Source organism: Homo sapiens, chromosome 15 (assembly GCF_000001405.40).
Source record: "Homo sapiens chromosome 15, GRCh38.p14 Primary Assembly".
Classification (NCBI taxonomy): Eukaryota; Metazoa; Chordata; class Mammalia; order Primates; family Hominidae; genus Homo; species Homo sapiens.
Window position 1 is genome coordinate 60,928,782 of NC_000015.10, and position 16,832 is coordinate 60,945,613.

The window sequence follows — 16,832 nt, forward strand, 5'->3', positions numbered from 1 at the left end:
TCCAGGCAAGTCTAAAGTAATGCTGGCAATAATGCACAGAGCTCTAGGCACAGGCTCCTCTGGAAGGTGCCAGACAGCATACAGGCTGGGGCACCAGGTGTACAGCTAATCATCCCCAGAGAGGTTTACCTGAGCTTCCAAAGGGTTTTTTTCTTTTCTTTCTTTCTTCTTCTTCTTTTTTTAATCTTGAATTGTTTGGTGAAGAGTGTCTCAAGCCAAGGAGCAGACACACTTGTGTGCCCCGCTCCCACTCTTCCCTCCTTTGTTCTTTTCTTTGAGCTGGGTCCATTGGAGGAGCATTGTATGGTGCCCCTGCTGGGTCTACAAGGCCCCTTTTTGGTTCAATTAATGAGCCATAAATAACCCAATGAAGGTGTCAACAAAGAGGGTAATTTATCATACCTTGTCAAGACGGCAAGCTTTGTGAGGCAAGCGCTCATTCACAGTCTGGTGCAACATGTTAAGATTTATTCCTGGCCAGGTCCCTCCTCCTCCAGCCCTCCCTCCCCCTATCAAAATTTATCTTTCACAGGAATCCTCACAGGTGTGCTGCTTTGACAAATAAGCTATGAAGTCTGGTATTCATCACTGGCTGGTCTTTGTTGAGAGGAAGGCAGCGGGAAATAAATTTATGTTAGAGGGAAGGTACTTGTGATTCAAACACACTCAAGGGGAGCAACGAGGTTATTTCCATCCTCCTGGTTCTGCAAAAGGCGAGAAGGAGATAATGCTAGGACAGCCACTTTCTTCAGTTTTTACTACTTGATGGAAGAACAGCCAGGACTTTACTGAGATGCGCACTTAGCTGTCAGTCTGGAGGCTCCAGTCGCATTCTCTTGAAAATGTTTGGTTGGGAAATCTTACAGTGGAGTAGAAAGTGCTACAAGACATCTGATATGCCCAGAATCGCCATATCAGGAGGTTTTCCCGCTTCGCTCTTCAACTTCTGGCTTCCCTTGGAGTGCTCATCCTGAAGTGTGAGTTTGCATAATAGCCATCTGGGAGTGCTTGCTAAAATACTGATTCCCAGGCCTCCCCTCCAGCCCCCAGAGATACGGACCTGGGAAGTCTAGGGAGGAGCCCAGGAATGTGTATTTTGACAAGCTCGCCTCTGTTCTTGCCTTCAGACGCATATGGTTTATGGAGCACATTTTGGATCAACACGTGCTGCTTAGAGTCTCTGGTGCATGCCTCTGAACTTTCTGCAATGATGGAAATGCTCTCTATTTGTGTTACTTAATACTGCAGCCACTAGTCTCTTGTGGCTGTTGGGCCCTTGAAATTTGGCTAGTGTGAGAGAGGAATGGAATTTCTTAATAGTATTTAATTTTAATTTATTGAAATTTATATAGCCATGTGGCTAGCGGCTACCATTTTAGATGGTAGAGCTCTAGCCCATCATTCTGCATAGTAGATACAGACGAAAAAGCTCAACATAAGACCTGATATGCCAGTCTCCTCCTACTCTACCCTATTTTCCAGCTAAGAAATACTCCAAGTCCCTGGAGTGTGCCCTATTTAGTCATTTCTAAACAGGAAGAGGGAGGAGCATATCCTCCCACCTCCATTCTCAAGGTCTATATAAGCCGAGAGACAGAAAGATCCAATTTCTTAAGTGCCTTCCATGTGGGACGGTGGGAGGCATCTTTGAGAATTACATATGGTCTCCCAATACAGGGAGGGAAGACAAATATACAAGTGACCCAACACCAGGTGGCCCACTATGAAGCTGTAGAAAACACCTATAGATGCAAAGTGCCAGGAGTCCTCAGCCTCCCCTAGCAGATGTGAACACTTCCGGACACCAGCCATTCCCTTCCCACTTTGGAATTAATGCAACAGCCTTGTAGCTCATTATGCCCAATTCACTGAAGGAAGTTAGACTTCTGAATTCCTTCCTTGAAGTGTCCAAGGTAGGTTTCCCACTGTCTGCCCTGTTGAGATGGGACCCACCTCTGTGGTTACACTTTGTATGTGGTGACTGTCATCACCTGCTCATCTGCTCACCTGTAGACTTTGAGGTCCGTGAGCAGAGATTCCCAATCATTTATCTCTGAGCCAAGAGACCGACCCTGGTGGGGCAAAACCAGTATGTTCTAAAATGAAATGGCCTCACATCTGCCTATATGAGGCCTCTTACGTCTTGCTTAAGGATAAAAGTGGCCCTTGAAAAACAGAAAGTGGTCTGTTCTCTGAGGGTAAAAGGGTGTAGGTGTTCCCTTTCTACAGTGTTATGAGAGGGACTTACCCCTTAAATGTGTATTTTAAATGGCAGGGGGAAGAGGGGGAAGACCACATGGAAGAGTGACTGGTCCAGGGTCTGGGGAAGAACTCCCTGTCTGTGAGAAAATTCCACCTGGGAAAGAGAAGGTGAGTCTGCCTAGAGCAGCAGATAGGCTCCAGGTCCATAAGTGGGGCCAGGCAGGCTTACAGGAGTAGGAGGCACGGAGGCACATTGGGAGGTAGGCTGTTCACTGCCCAGAGGCACAAAGCCCCTGTCCCAGAAGTGAAGGGCAGCCTACAGGCCTCCACTGGATGCCCTGCCACCCACGAACAGCCCCTCCCTGCCCAAGCACTCTTCCTTACTCACTCCTCTGGCTCCATGGGGAAGCAGAATCCCAACTCATAGCTGCAGGAGGAATAGCTGAAGAGAGAAGAGGCCTGGCTTCAGCTTCCAGAGCTAAGCCCTGCCAATCTCCCAGACTCCTGCAGTCTTTCAAGTCTCCGACATTTGATTACTCCTTTCTTCTCATGAAGTGTCCTTATTTTGCCTCTAGAAAACAGGCACTGGTATCAAGAGTTGCATGGCTGATGCCAAGACTTAATGCTCCAGAGTGTCTTGCACAGGGCCAAAGCTGCCTCTTCTGGCACACACAGAGTTCTACAGAAGGGCCCCCTTATAGGCCACCAGCCACTGTGAGGACCTCATAAGCAAATGTAAGGGCAGGAAGAGATGGGACATGGTCTGGCAAAAACCTCAGCCTTCTCCCTAAGCTCTTCTGCCTTATGAGGCTGATAGCTCAGACTCAAAACAGTTGGCTGAGTTCTCCAGCTAAATATTCATTTCTCCAGCTAAATATTGATTCCTTCAATATTAACACCATGTCAGGGAGCCATGTTAAGCCATTGCCTCAACTTGGCACTGCAGCTAAACATAATGAAATGCCAGAAATTAGGGTCTAGAATTGATTATGGTACCAATTCTAATCCTGAATTCTCAAAGCAATATCTAGAAAAATATTGAATCAAGAGTTTTTTTTTTTAAATGAAGATCCTATACTGGAGGGAGATGGGCAACTTCTATTTGGAATAACAAGCAGTATCAATGTCTTTGAATTCACCTTGAAAACCAATCCTTTGGAGTAGAAAGAATTCATGGTATTTGAAATGTCCAAGATTACTAATGAGGGGAAAATCTGAGGGACCTGAGAAGGTGGGGTTGCTTGAGAAGCAGTAAAGCTTCTCAAAGAAGAAATGGAGATGCCATGAGCAGCTGCCTTGGACCAGATTCCAAGGCAGTGTCTTGTAAACTCAGCCACGATTAGGGCTGGGTCATTCTGGACCGTCCTAAAGAGAAACCATTAAAAACCATTAATTCCTTCAGATATCACAGCTGCTTACTCATAGTAGCTCATTCATAGGTAAGGAAACTGAGATCTCCCTAAGATCAAATAAGTAACAGGTATGTTAAAAAGTTTCATTTGTTTACGTGTTACTACCAAGGGCCAAGTTTCTCCATGTAGTGCAAGGAAATAATTTCTGTGCAACAGCTCGAGATATGCAGCTTGAGTTTGCCTGAAGCCCTGGCACTGTGAATTGCGGCTCCTTCAGATCTTGCAAGCTACCAGCGATTTGGCGGGGTGGGTAACTGGTTGGGAAACCTCCCAGGAAACCACAGCTCCTGCAAATGACTCAGTAGGTGGTTCCGACTTCTCTGAGTCAGAACCAAGCCCATGGCCCAGCCCCATGCCAAGACTCCCTGGCATTGTTGAGATGCTCTGAGCTTGGCTGGCATGTGACACTGAGGACCTCTGGTGTTTGTCTGCAAAGGGATGAATGCTCTTTCTGATAAGGAACCAAGGAGTGTGGAACAGAAAAGCAGCTGAATTCTCTCAGTGGCCTGGCTCTCTCTTGCCCCCTCAATCCCTGAAGAGTGTTGATGGCTTCCTACGTCAGACAACCTTTCACTTAAAAACTTACTCCTCTTCCTTACCCAGGAGTTTCCAGGTTGCCCCCCACAGTCATGAACTTGCAGACACAGAATGCTTAGTTCTAGTATTGATTCTGCTGCTTCCCAGGGCTGTGACCCTGAGCAAGTCTCCTACTGTGGGCCTCAAGTATTACCCATCCCAATTTCATCATCAGCCCAATTGTCCTCTAGTGCCATGATGATCATACTAATCTTCCAACCCAAATTCTCCACTGGCTCCCACTGCCTATGGAATCATGTCCAGACTTCTTAGCCTGGTATTCAAATCCCAATCTATCTTTTAAGCCTCAGCTTCCTCTATTATTCTCCCTGTAGCCTACGTTCTCAGCAAATTGGACCACTCACTCTCCCTAAATGTACTGTGCATTTCCCATTCCCTGTGCCCTTGCAGTGCCCTTTTCTTGAGATGCCCTCTCCTTGCCTCTGGAAATTTTGCCTACGCTTCCAGGCTCAGATCAAATGCGACCTCCTCCTCCAAGCAGCTTCCGCAGCTCTTCTCTTGTGAAGCCCCCTTGATCTCTCACATCACAGTTTGTTGGTACCTTCCTATTGACATAGAACGCATTATTCTGAATCGCAGGCATTTGTGTGGATGACTTCTCTCTCCTCCTGGATGGCATACTCCTAAAGGAAGAGGGGTGGGGGAGGATGTCTTATTCCCCTTTCAATTTCCCATCATGCCAGGGTATACACATCTGTACTAATGAACAAATGAATGAATTTAGAAAATCTAGATGGATGTTCTAAAATTATCTACAGCTGTGGTATTTCATACCAGAGGTGGCTGCACATCAGTAATAAAAACCAGCCCAGACACAAGCTTTTCATATGGGAAAAAGCAGAGGCACTGGTGCGATCCATTCTGTTGGCCATGAAATGTCTTTGGGTGTGTGCACACAGACTCCCACAAACCAGATGCAACATCTGCTTTTGAAGGGCCCAGAGAGGCTGGGCTCCCTCATTTCTCAAAGTGATGAGAAGCGCATTGGAGTCTTGCAGCTGACAGTCGTTCGGTAAAGAAACACCTACTTAGCATAGCCCCAGCTCCAGCTCCACACCATATGCATCAATAGGGGTGGGTCACAGTGCCCTCTTGGCAGTAAGCCAGGAGGAGATTTGAGGTTTGGTTTTGCTGTGCTCAACAGGCAGTCCTGATCTACATTAACAAGTCTCCTGCTTCCGTGTGACTAGCTAACAAGGAGACTGCTGCCTGCCTCATGCAGGGAGACCTTTCCCAAAGCTTGGCACCTGCCCTATGCTGGCCCAGTGGAGGCCAAATGGGGGAGCAGAAAGGAAGACATTGCTAAAGTTCTCTTTTCCACTTTCCTTCAAGAGACTAGACCAGTATTCTCAAACTTTAGCAAGGGTCAGAGTCCTCTGGAGGGCTTGTAAAAAGAAAAAAAAACAAAAACACAGATTGCTGGGCCATAACTCCAGAGTATTTGACTTAGTAGCTCTGGGATAAGGCCCAAGAGTTTGTTGTTGTTGTTGTTGTTGTTGTTGTTGTTTGTTTGTTTGTTTTTTTCTGATATGAGGTCTCACTATGTGACCCAGGCTGGTCTGGTCTTGAACTACTGGCCTCAAGCAGTCCTCTTGCTTCAGCCTCCTGAGTTGCTGGGATTACAGGTATGAGTCAATGAGTCATCACACTGGCTCAAGAATTTGCATTTCTAACAAATTTCCAGGTGATGCTGATGTTGCCTGTCTGGGAGCCACACTTTGAGAACCACTGTATTGGCTACTCCAAAGAAAGGCAAATGAAAGCCCTCAAGCCATCACTGGCTGGACAAGAGGTATGACTGTCTCCCTGCCTCCAGGCTCTGCTCCATTACAATCTGTCCTCTACTTTCCCACAGAAAGCACCTTTCTAAAGCACACATCCACCTATGCCATTGGCTGCACTGCCTGTTCCTTGCCTATAAAATACAAACTCCACAGCCAAGCTTATGTTGTCTAAGCCGTTAACTGTGTGCCAAGCACTGTTCTAAAACCTCTACACATTATAAGCTCATTTAATCCACATAATTCTATGCAGTAGGTACTATTATTATCCCCATTTTAGAAATAATGAATCCCACAGGGGGCCCTCAGGAAATATTTTCTGAATGAATGAATAAAAAGATGCTCACAAGCATTTACACTGTGTACTACAGAGGACTATTTCCATGCCAAAGGAAACCATCAAAAAGTGAAGAATTGGCTTGCCAACCAGTCATTTGTTCCTGCACTACACCAAATAACCCATTTGCCTGTAATTGGCTGGATATTCTGGCTTTGTGTAGACATCTCCTCGCTGGGAGAAAAGCCAGAGTTAATCCTTCACAAAGGGTTGTTTAATAATAACCAGAAACTGGAGGAGAGCAGAAAAGAACACAGTGATCCCACACAAGCTGAGGAAAATGGACTGTTCAAACCCACAGTGTCCATGCTGCCAGTAAGGGCCCTTGGTGTGGCCTGAGGTTTCTTAATTTTTATTATAAAAATAGAACATGAATATGTCTCTCCTGATTATCACCACCAAATACACCAGTGAAAACATCTATGGCTACATATTACTCTAATGCAACACTAATGCTTACACTGGAACAGAAAATCAGGTCATTGTCGAGAGTCTATAAATGGACAGCCCTCTCCATCCATTACTTATTTATGTTTCCCGCCTTTTGCTTAACCGGCCTTGAGGCCCAAACAGAGAAACACACCATACATAAAGTTACCAGTCCAGATAAATAAAACATCAGACTCAAATTGGCAGCTTCATCCTTCATTGCTTTGGAGGAGGTGGACTTCAACAGCCAGATGCTGCACAAATGATCAGCAAAATGTGACCCTTTGAGACCGCAGCAGACAAGTCATTCCTAAGACGTGTATCTTCCCAAAAGTTAGCTTTGCCCTTTTTAGAGAACATTCTTGTTTACTGCAGACAGAAGACAATGATCCCAAAATAAGTTTGAGCCCAAATCTCTTTGAGTTGGGCAAACTGAGACTGACATTGTTGAATTCATCACCAGTTGAAGTCAAGGGTTTCCCCATGTGGCCGGCCCTACAGTTACTCAGCCTGAAGGCTCATCATGGTAATATTACCCATGGGAAGGTCTGCATAGTAACGAAACCATCAGAGTCCCTGTGCAAAGTTCCAGCAGAAAAACAATGATGCTAGGACCCAATCCTATCTGATGGCCCAGAGGTATCTATGGCCCTGGGGGAAGCCCTTCTTAGTAAAAGGAAGACCCATCTCCAGGAACAAAATGACTTGCCTTGCTCCTTACAGTCTTCTGTCTATCTACTCACAGCAGCCATCTCTTAGATTGAACAAAGTAGGATGCTTTTACCTAGTTTTCAGCTTAGCCTTGTGCTAGGCAACCTGTGAAGTGGCTCTGATGGAGAGAGCTGGTGTAATTAGCAGCACAGGGCACGTTTCCAGAAACAGCCTGGATGGAGAAACAGAGGGCACCCTTGCACACCTGTCACACCTTCAGCCTCTGCTCAAAAGTGTCCACCTTCTTTGTCCACAGTAGCTACAGAAGTGAAAATGTTTGCCTCGGCATCCTCTCCATCACCGTCACCATCACCTAGCCCCCAAACGGGGATCACAGTGCTCTATCCACCCCTGAGAGCAACTGTGTGCAGTCACCAGCAAGGATGGTTCTGCCAGAGTGACGGGCACTGCCTGTGACCATACAGTGGCAGCAGTCAAGAAACAAGCCCTTCTGCTCAATACTTCATCTTTTCCTGTGTGCTGAGAATTAAGTACCTCTTAGCTAGTTAGAAAAACTAGCAGTTATTATTGATGAAATGTGTAAGACAGACATTTTGTTAGGGGCAGAGGAGAAAATAGTAGAAATGTCCAGTCGTTGAGGACTGTCTGTAAAACCATTCAAATCAAACCACTTCAAGAAGGATAAAGCACTGTGCTGATGTAAGGGATGGTCATTAGATAAGAGGAGTATTACATCTTATGCTCTGTGAAGGAAAGGGTATAGGTCTTATATTTTTTTTTAATCCAATGATAACAACTGCAAACATTTACTTAATGTGTGCTAGGCACCATATGGAGTGCTCTATGTTGGATTATCTCATTTCATCCTCACAATTTTATGAGGAATATATCATTATTATCAACCCATTCAATGGATGAGGAAACCGAGGCATACAGCTGGCAAGTGGCAAAGCCAAAGTTAGAACCCAAAAGTCTGACACCAAAACTCAACCTGCCCCCTCTGACACAGAAACTTTCATGGAGCTCAGTGAGAACTTTAGGACCAGTGTAGGCACTCTCTGAATTCTTCTAGATAGCACTGAGCTTGAGTATGGTTGTTGTTTAAGAGTATTTACTGTCTGGGTGATTATTCTGGCTCATTTCATAAGGCTTTTGTCTTGGTGAGAAAGCACTCACCATCTTCTAGTTGGAAAGCCAAGGTCTTCCAACCTTGGGAAAATCCTGCCTCATTATGCCAAGAGTTACCAAACAGCACAGGAAAATATTATCACAGATTTCCTGAAACTGGGTGAGATCATTCAGTTCAAAGCCTGCACAATTCTGTTTCATATGCACTGGGGGCAGAAAAATGTATGATTGGTCCTTAGAGCTCATTCTCATGGGTGATTCCACCAGTTTCCCAGACTCCAACTTGGGTCTTCCCAGTAGTGTCTGCTACCACCAAAGACAGTAAGGTGCAGTGGAGGGAGTTCTGAACCAGAACACCTGGTTCACGTTTCAGCTCCAACTACTGTTACAGTTTGTGTGACCTTGAGCAAATCACCCAGCCACTCTGGCCATCTGAAATATTATCAGTCAAATGGGGATGCTGATATTTGTGATAATGTTACATAAACTTGCCTACCTCAGAGGCTCGCAGTTAGGACCAATGAAGATTCTATATGTGAAAACACAGGTTAATACAGAGCACAATATCAGTGATAATAGCTAATATTTCTTTTCTTTTTTTGCTTATGATGTGCCAGGAACCTCATGAGGTGGATCATATTATCTGCAATTGCTGGTGAGGAAGAGGAAGGAGAGACTCAGAGAACGAAAATTAGCAGAAGTAGAATTTGAACCTAGGTTTTTAGGTTCAAGATAGGTTTTTCCAGCTTGTGTACACAAGCTAATGTTGCCCTAAAGGGAGTGAAAATTGATTTTTGAGGGCCAAAAAGTTGCTGTTTTTATATATAAAGTACAGATATACACATCGTACATAAACAGACACATAGTGTATTTGTATCTGTGGTATTACAATCTCATGGGGAGAGTGATTAGAAAAAACAATGTCTAAAACAGGTCTGTAGGAGGCAATAATGAAGAAAAATTTGAGAAATACTGGTCTATCTTCACCCTATCATTCCATTTCCCATAATTAATAAAGATGATCATTGTTACCATGACAATTAAGTTTCTGCAGTGGAAGGTTGCATGCTGTATTCAAATATAGTACCTGTGAAGGTGGTGGCCAGTTTAGTTGCCACTGTAGATGATCTAGCTTAGAGGTCGTGTGCAAAGAATTCAAATACCTTCACATTTAAATTCTAAAGTGTAAAACTTCTGCCAATCAAAATTAGAAGGTAATGTGGCATTAATGCTACTCACTCTACACCCTGGATACAGGTACATGGTTAGATCAGTTCATACAAACTAGAGGAGGGAAACACTCACTTAAACATTTTAAATAAGAGGGAGGCAAGAAGGTTTGCTTGAGGCCAGGAGTCTGACACCAGCCTAGTCAGCACAGTGAGACCTCATCTAAAAAAAATTTTTTTTAATACTGGGAAAAATAAAAATGATAATTGGTGCATTTAGAACATTAATACAAATCTGCCTAGATCTGCCACTGGGGATACAGATTGCTTCTTTTCTTTCGGCTACTGAAAAAACTGGAGATTTGTGTGTAAACTCCGAGTAATATCTGTGAATTAAATAAAAAGGCACTGGCCCATGCCCGGCTTCTTAAACAAATCAGGCTTATTCATGCAACATGCTTCCAGAAATGTGTTCAAGTCCTGTCACCAGTGATGGCTCGATCAAAGTTATTTGCTCAGGCCATTGCTCGTTGGTCCATTTCAACTTGCTACGTCCTGTAGCCATCTTCCTCTCTCAGACCTCTTCCCTCGGCATCGCAGCTCCTGACCTCCACTTTGGCCTTAGTGCTCCCTCGGAGACTTCTTGTCATTCCAATCATGGATTCACTCACTCATTCACTCACTCATTCATTCATTCCATTCATTGTATTATATACAACAAACTGCGACCTTGTTCCCACCATGAACCAGGCATTCTTTCAGCATGGTAGCCCTGCCTCTCAGGTCTGAGAGGTCCAACTGTCTGGGCCAGCCTTGTCCAGATTCTCTACTGGACAAAGGGGGCTGGAGAGGAGGGGCATGCAGTCATCAGAGGCTTCATTTTGTACAAATTGCCTTTGAGGTGTTCTTCTGACTGGAGCACAGCAGGGACGCACGTGCTCACTTGCAACTCTGGGCCAGGCTGGTCCTGAGGTACCTGTGATAATCAATCCAGTTGCCATAGCGGCCTTAAGTGTTCATTTACCACTATGCGACCTGGAGCAATAATATATTATGCCTTTCGCCAGAGGGAGCCGTGCCAGCCTCAGCACAGGGCGGCCGTGTCGGCCATCAGTCACCACTCCCCTTCACAACCTTTTGTTCCCCGCTCATTATGGTGAATTATAACAGGGGGACAGCACATTTTTCAGGAGAGTTTCTCCTGTTAAGTCTGAGAGCTAACTCTTCCCGGGTTGTTCCAAGTCGGCTGTGCTAGCCCTGTACCCCTGCAATGTTTATGCACGGGACAGTGCCGTTCACTGGACTTCCCTCTTTTCCCTCCTCTTGCACTTAGAATGGCTGAAAAGCAGTGTGTGTGCACATTTCTACAAGGCAAGATAAAAAACCACTCCAGTGTATTTACTATAAATATTGGATACTGCATTTTGTTGCACTCTGTCATGTGCCCGAAGGCCTATCCTGGTGGTAAATTACATTACAGAACACTAAATAGGCCATCATGTCAGCTTTGAGCCTTGGCATTGCTACTTCAAGATGAGTAGAAGATCACTTCCAAAGTCACACATGGGAGGATCAGGGGCCAACACCTCCAACCCTATCAGCATTTTTTGAAAATGTTTCACTCTAATAGTGATGGTGAACATTCTAAGATCCTAAAAATTAGAGGCTGGGTCACAAGATTAGATCACTGAAAGAAATTAAAGATAAAATTGTTGGCTAAGATGATTTCTAATAGCCCCAAACCAGAAACAACCCCAAAGGCCATCAATTGGTAAGGAATAAACAAACTGTACGTCCATACGATGGAATACTATTCCAGTAATAAAAAGAAATTATAATACAACAACATGGATGAATCTCAAAAACATCCGCTAGGTGAAAGATGTTGAACAAAAAAGAATATGTATTATATTATTGTATTTAGATAAAACTCTAGAAAAGGCAAAATACAGAGACAGAAAGCTGATCTGTGGAAGCCAGAGGCCAGGTTGCAGGGGGACGGGATTGAGAGCCAAGAGGCCCGAGGGAACATTTTAGGTGAGGGAACTGTTCTATGTATTGTTTCAGATGGTGGTTATGGTTGTAAACAATAACCAAAATTCATCTAACTGTATGCTTATAACTGGATTACATTGTATGTAAATAATATTGTAGTCAGCCTGTAATCCCAGCAGTTTGGGAGTCCGAGGCAGGTGGATCACGAGGTCAGAAGATTGAGACCATCCTGGCCAACATGGTGAAACCCTGTCTCTACTAAAATACAAAAAAATTAGCCGGGCATGGTGGCGCGTGCCTGTAGTCCCAGCTACTCGGGAGGCTGAGGCAGGGGAATTGTTTGAACTCGGGAGGCAAAGCTTGCAGTGAGCCAAGATCGCACCACCGCACTCCAGCCTGGCAGCAGAGTGAGACTCTGTCTCTAAATAAATAAATAAATAATCATAATATTTTAGTCAGTGGAAGAAAAGGAAAACAAATGTTGACCAAGGCAAATGGCCATGATTTTTCTCCTATGTGATAGCAGACCTGCAAGAAAGAAGTGGTATTGTATAGAAAAACAAGTTATACTCATTAGACAAAATCAAATGAGCCAACTTTGTGAACCTAAGCTTGGAGACACCAAACACTTCATAATTTTTATGGCATGGTGATAAGCTATTACATATACCAACCCTGGGATGGAAAAGCCTTGTCAGTTGCAGTTCAACCTCTGGTTAATTCAAGCTGGGTCTAAAAGGCACTAAATTGAGTGTGGTTTCACTTCCTTGGACTTCAGGTTCCTTGTCCTTGAAGTGGAAGGGTTGGATGAAATGGTTGTTAAAGCTTCAAAATGATACAACTGTGCCAGTCTTTGCTCAACTCCAAGCTCTTTAATGTGTTGGCGTCTCGCGATTCCATTTAGCTATTAGGACCCCAGGGCCAAATCTGGCTTGTCCCAATGTCATTGTTCTACAGAACCGGGTGAAGGGGCCTAAGATACTTGGAGGAAAGTCTACCAGTGCCATGGTCAACAGTGGGCCCTCCCAATGAGACAGCCTCGGGCTGAGTTCCCTGTCTGGACACAGCAGCCAGTTTCTATGATGCTTTCACCCAGAGGTGTTCTTGGAAGATCTCCAGTGTACTTTATTTTTAGTTCCTTGGTGAGTGCTCACTTTGTATTCTAAGAAAACTTTTAGATCTCAAGACAAGGAATTTTTGATCTCACTTTTTTACGCAATTATGAGTCATTCCACATGTTAGCATTAGCAACCCAAGACCTCCCTCTCCTCACTGATCTATCTTTTTCATCTCTTCAAAGATCCTGGAGGTAAGGAAGGGTTTTAAATGTTTGCCCTTGAAAAGAAAAGACGTGCAAACCGGAAACTGGTGACTAGCACTGCTGTTGTTACCAAGAAATAGTTTTTAAAAGCAGACATTTTAGGAAGATAATTGTTGATCTTTGCATTACCCACCAGTCCAGTGAGCAGGCAAATCTCCTATGCATAAAATCTGCTAAGTCTTCAAGCAAACTCACCTTTCCTAAAGGATTGAATTAAAACTTAATCCATAATATCTTCGGAAGATTCCCCCTAATTTTTTAAAAACATGGAATTTTTTTTTTCATGTGATAGATCTGGTTGAAAACCAAAATATCAGCAAAAGCCACAGCTCATCATAAACGTAACTATCTATGGAGCCCTTACATAATGGTCAGCTACTGTGCACACAGTAGATCTTTCAGACCTTACAACTAGATGTGGAAACTGAGTCTTAGTGAGTTTATGTCTCAAGGCCAAGGCTGCCTCGCCTGTAAACAGCAGAGCTGGGATATACACCCTTATCAGACCAAATCCCAAATCAGTGCTCTTCCCCCTAGTGCTTATTGTCAAATTCTGGTTTGTCAAATTGTCAAACCAGAACCAGGTTTCCGTTTTACGTTTCTATTCATAAGGCGAATTATGTGTGTTAAGCAAGATGTTCGGCAATTATTTGCCCATGGATGAAAAGGTGTATGCTTAGGTTTCTTGTATCTTATACTTTGCTTCACATTAGGGATGTAGCCTCAGGCACACATTCATGTGAGCAGTGACCTGTAATCAGTTTATAAGATTATCACTTAAAAGAATTTTCCTGTTACTGATGATACTTAGAGATTGGCTGTTAGAATGCTGTGTGAATGTTATATGCATATACATACAAACATGTTTTCTCTTTATCCTTGATCTTCCTATCCTCCTTCAAAACAAACACCGTCTTTAATCTTTAGGTTTATGTGCAAAAGTGATAATGCAGACATACCCTGGGATGGAGGTGGGGAGGACACAGGCAACTGGGCATAAGGAGAGATAATAAGACACAATTCCAAGGCTGGCCTTTGCTGGCCTTACACATTCTGGAACAAATAAAGCTAACAATATTATCAAGCCCACGAAGCCCTGTTAGAGTTGAAATTGCAGCTCACTGAAGGTCAAATTTATTAGATTTTCTTTTCTGCCTTCATAGAATGGTTGAATAACAACTTCCTATTTTTAGCATGAACTCTCCTTTGTAATTGCTTCACCCAAATCAAGAAAGCTGGAGTCAGGGTACCTGTATCCATCTTTGCTGGCATCATGTTCTAAATCAAGTCCAAGTAGCTATGCATAGTAGCATCTTCTTATTTTGAGACTTGGCCCTTCAACTAGTGGTTTAGAAAGAAAGGTGACTTTGCTAGGATGCTGGGGCAAAAACCAGGGTGCTGAGGAAGACTGCCAGGTTCTGCAGGACATTTTAAAAGTACACTGTCAGGTTTGGGGTTTAACCTCTCACATGTCTTTCTTAATTTTTTTTTTTTTTCACTTTTAAAGTTAGCTTAGGAACGTCAATTCTGATTCTATTCAATCTTGTTCTGGCTCTTGTAGTCACTCTTCTGAGGCACTCTTGTTCTTTGCTGTATCAAGGTCATACTTAAAAAGAGATGTTATTTCTTGATCAGGGTTTTGAGAGGATTACATTTTCAATGTGAAGGTTCAGCCACTGTTTTAGAGGACTGTACTAATGAGCATAAGACAGAAGGTCTTGGCCCAATGTGGACCCGCATTCAGTTCTATTCTCCAAGGATGACATCTTTAACCTCAGCCAGCTATTTCGCAAAAGTGAGTAATGGGTCGGCTGGGCATGGTGGCTCATGCCTGTAATCCCAGCACTTTGGGAGGCTGAGGTGGGGGGATTGCCTGAGCTCAGGAGTTCAAGACCAGCCTGGGCAACACGGTGAAACCCCATCACTACTAAAATACAAAAAATTAGCCAGGCGTGGTAGCGTGTGCCTGTAATCCCAGCTACTCGGGAGGCTGAGGCAGGAGAATTGCTTGAACCTGGGAGGCAGAGGTTGCAGTGACCCGAGATCATGCCACTGCACTCCAACATGGGTGACAGAGCCAGACTCCATCTCCAAAAAAAAAAAAAAAAAAAAAAAAGTGAGTAATGGGTCAAAGGGGACCAGATGAGAGCATAAATGAGCATAAATATATCACTTCTATTAACTAAACAAACCATAAAATGGAGGCCTTTTGCCATAGTCAGTCAGTCGTCCATTATCATGACAGGAAAAATCACACATATGCTCTCATATGAGTTGTCCATCTGTCAAAGAATTTGTATAAACCGAAGAACAGTAACATGCACTGAAGATGAAAAGCACCTGGGGAGCTTTAAAAATTCCTGAGGCCCAGGCCACCCTGGTCCCACCTGGGAAGTCTGATGTAACTGGTCTGAGATGGAGCATGGGCATCAGTATAATTTAAAAGCCCCAGGAAGATCCTCCCATGCAACTAGAGCTAGAACCACTGGTCTAGACCCAGTTGGCCACAGTGAACACCGTACTAAGGGCCAGGGACTCTGCACAAACTGCCTTAATGGGTGGAGTTACAGGTGGTAAAAAACAGAAAACCGTATACAATAAGCAGCACGGAGCGAGATGCGGTGGCTCAAGCCTGTAATCCCAGCACTTTGGGAGGCTAAGGCAAGTGGATCACCTGAGCTCAGGAGTTCAAGACCAGCTTGGGCAACATAGTGAAACCCCATCTCTACCACAAATACAAAAAAGAAAAAAATGGCCAGGTGTGGTGGCAAGCATCTGTGATCTCAGCTACTTAGGAGGCTGAGGTGAGAGGACTGCTTGAGCAAAAGGGGCAGAGGTTGCAGTGAGCTGAGATCATACCACTGTACTCCAAAAAAAAAAAAAAAAAAAAGCAGCATGGCCCAGAATTCCTGTCTGATGCTTCCCATATTCCCAGAGGGCAATACACCATTTCCAATAATCGTCCCTGCAGAAGGATAGAAAAATGTCAGCAACAAGAGTGACACTTAAAACTGCACCCCAGACTCCTGTGGTTGAGATGCTGCATGCCCAACGTGGTCTGACTTCCCACTGACTGACCTAGGCATAGCACCAGGTGGAGCATGCAGACATATCAAGGTTTCCATAGGGTCCACAGCTCAGAGATATAACAGATGCCCGATAGGAGCAAAATGAAAGATTGAAACAAAAACAAACAGCCCACTTTGGTTTTAGAGCAGAGAAAGCTAGGAGCTGATTGGCTTAAGAGCAGAGAGGAGGAAGGCTATAGTTTAATATACCCAGCAAATCCAGCAATATGGGGCTGGACCACCCCATATAGATAACCTATAAAATATAATTTCCCTCCCCACCCTCTCTCTGAAAATCCAAACTCATGATCACATAAACTGCACAAATCATGGGAAAGAACAGGAACTCTCATCTCTCTTTTTAAAGGAAAATATGTATTCCACGGTTCCTGTTGGCACGAGCTGGACATTACAGGGCTGATATCTCTGGGGACAAGGCACAGTGCTGGCTTCTTGCATGGAGGCAAGTGGTGCCAACTGGCCAGCATACCAGGTTGGCTCTCTTCCAGGACACAGTGGCTTGCATGAGCTCCCGTCAGGGGAAACGTTGTTATATCATGGCTGCTGCAGACAAGAAGATGATGGAAAGGATAAGGCTCTCCAGGCTACAACTACCGAGAACAGTGCTTGTTAGAAAAAATACTTTTCACCATTAGGGGAGGAAAACGGCTCTTTCTCCAAATTCCTCCCATTTGCTCCCCATCCCTGCCATGCATAACAA

The 16,832-nt window shown here is 44.3% G+C and overlaps 1 protein-coding gene across 2 annotated transcripts in view, besides 2 other annotated features; it reads right to left on the reverse strand.

Annotated features, from left to right (window-relative positions):
• Window positions 1-16,832, reverse strand: part of RORA (RAR related orphan receptor A) — a 741,019-nt gene that overhangs the window by 440,498 nt on the left and 283,689 nt on the right. The window lies entirely within an intron of this gene.
• Window positions 3,164-4,363: an enhancer, noted in NCBI's record as "CDK7 strongly-dependent group 2 enhancer chr15:61224144-61225343 (GRCh37/hg19 assembly coordinates)". NCBI's record gives its function as "activates an origin of replication core promoter dependent on BRD2, BRD4, P300/CBP, MED14 and CDK7 cofactors, with strong dependence on CDK7, by STARR-seq in HCT116 cells {active_cell/tissue: HCT116}" and the evidence as "EXISTENCE:reporter gene assay evidence [ECO:0000049][PMID:35650434]".
• Window positions 16,429-16,723: a silencer, noted in NCBI's record as "tiled region #7352; K562 Repressive non-DNase unmatched - State 22:ReprW". NCBI's record gives its function as "represses a minimal TATA promoter and a strong SV40 promoter by Sharpr-MPRA in K562 cells {active_cell/tissue: K562}" and the evidence as "EXISTENCE:reporter gene assay evidence [ECO:0000049][PMID:27701403]".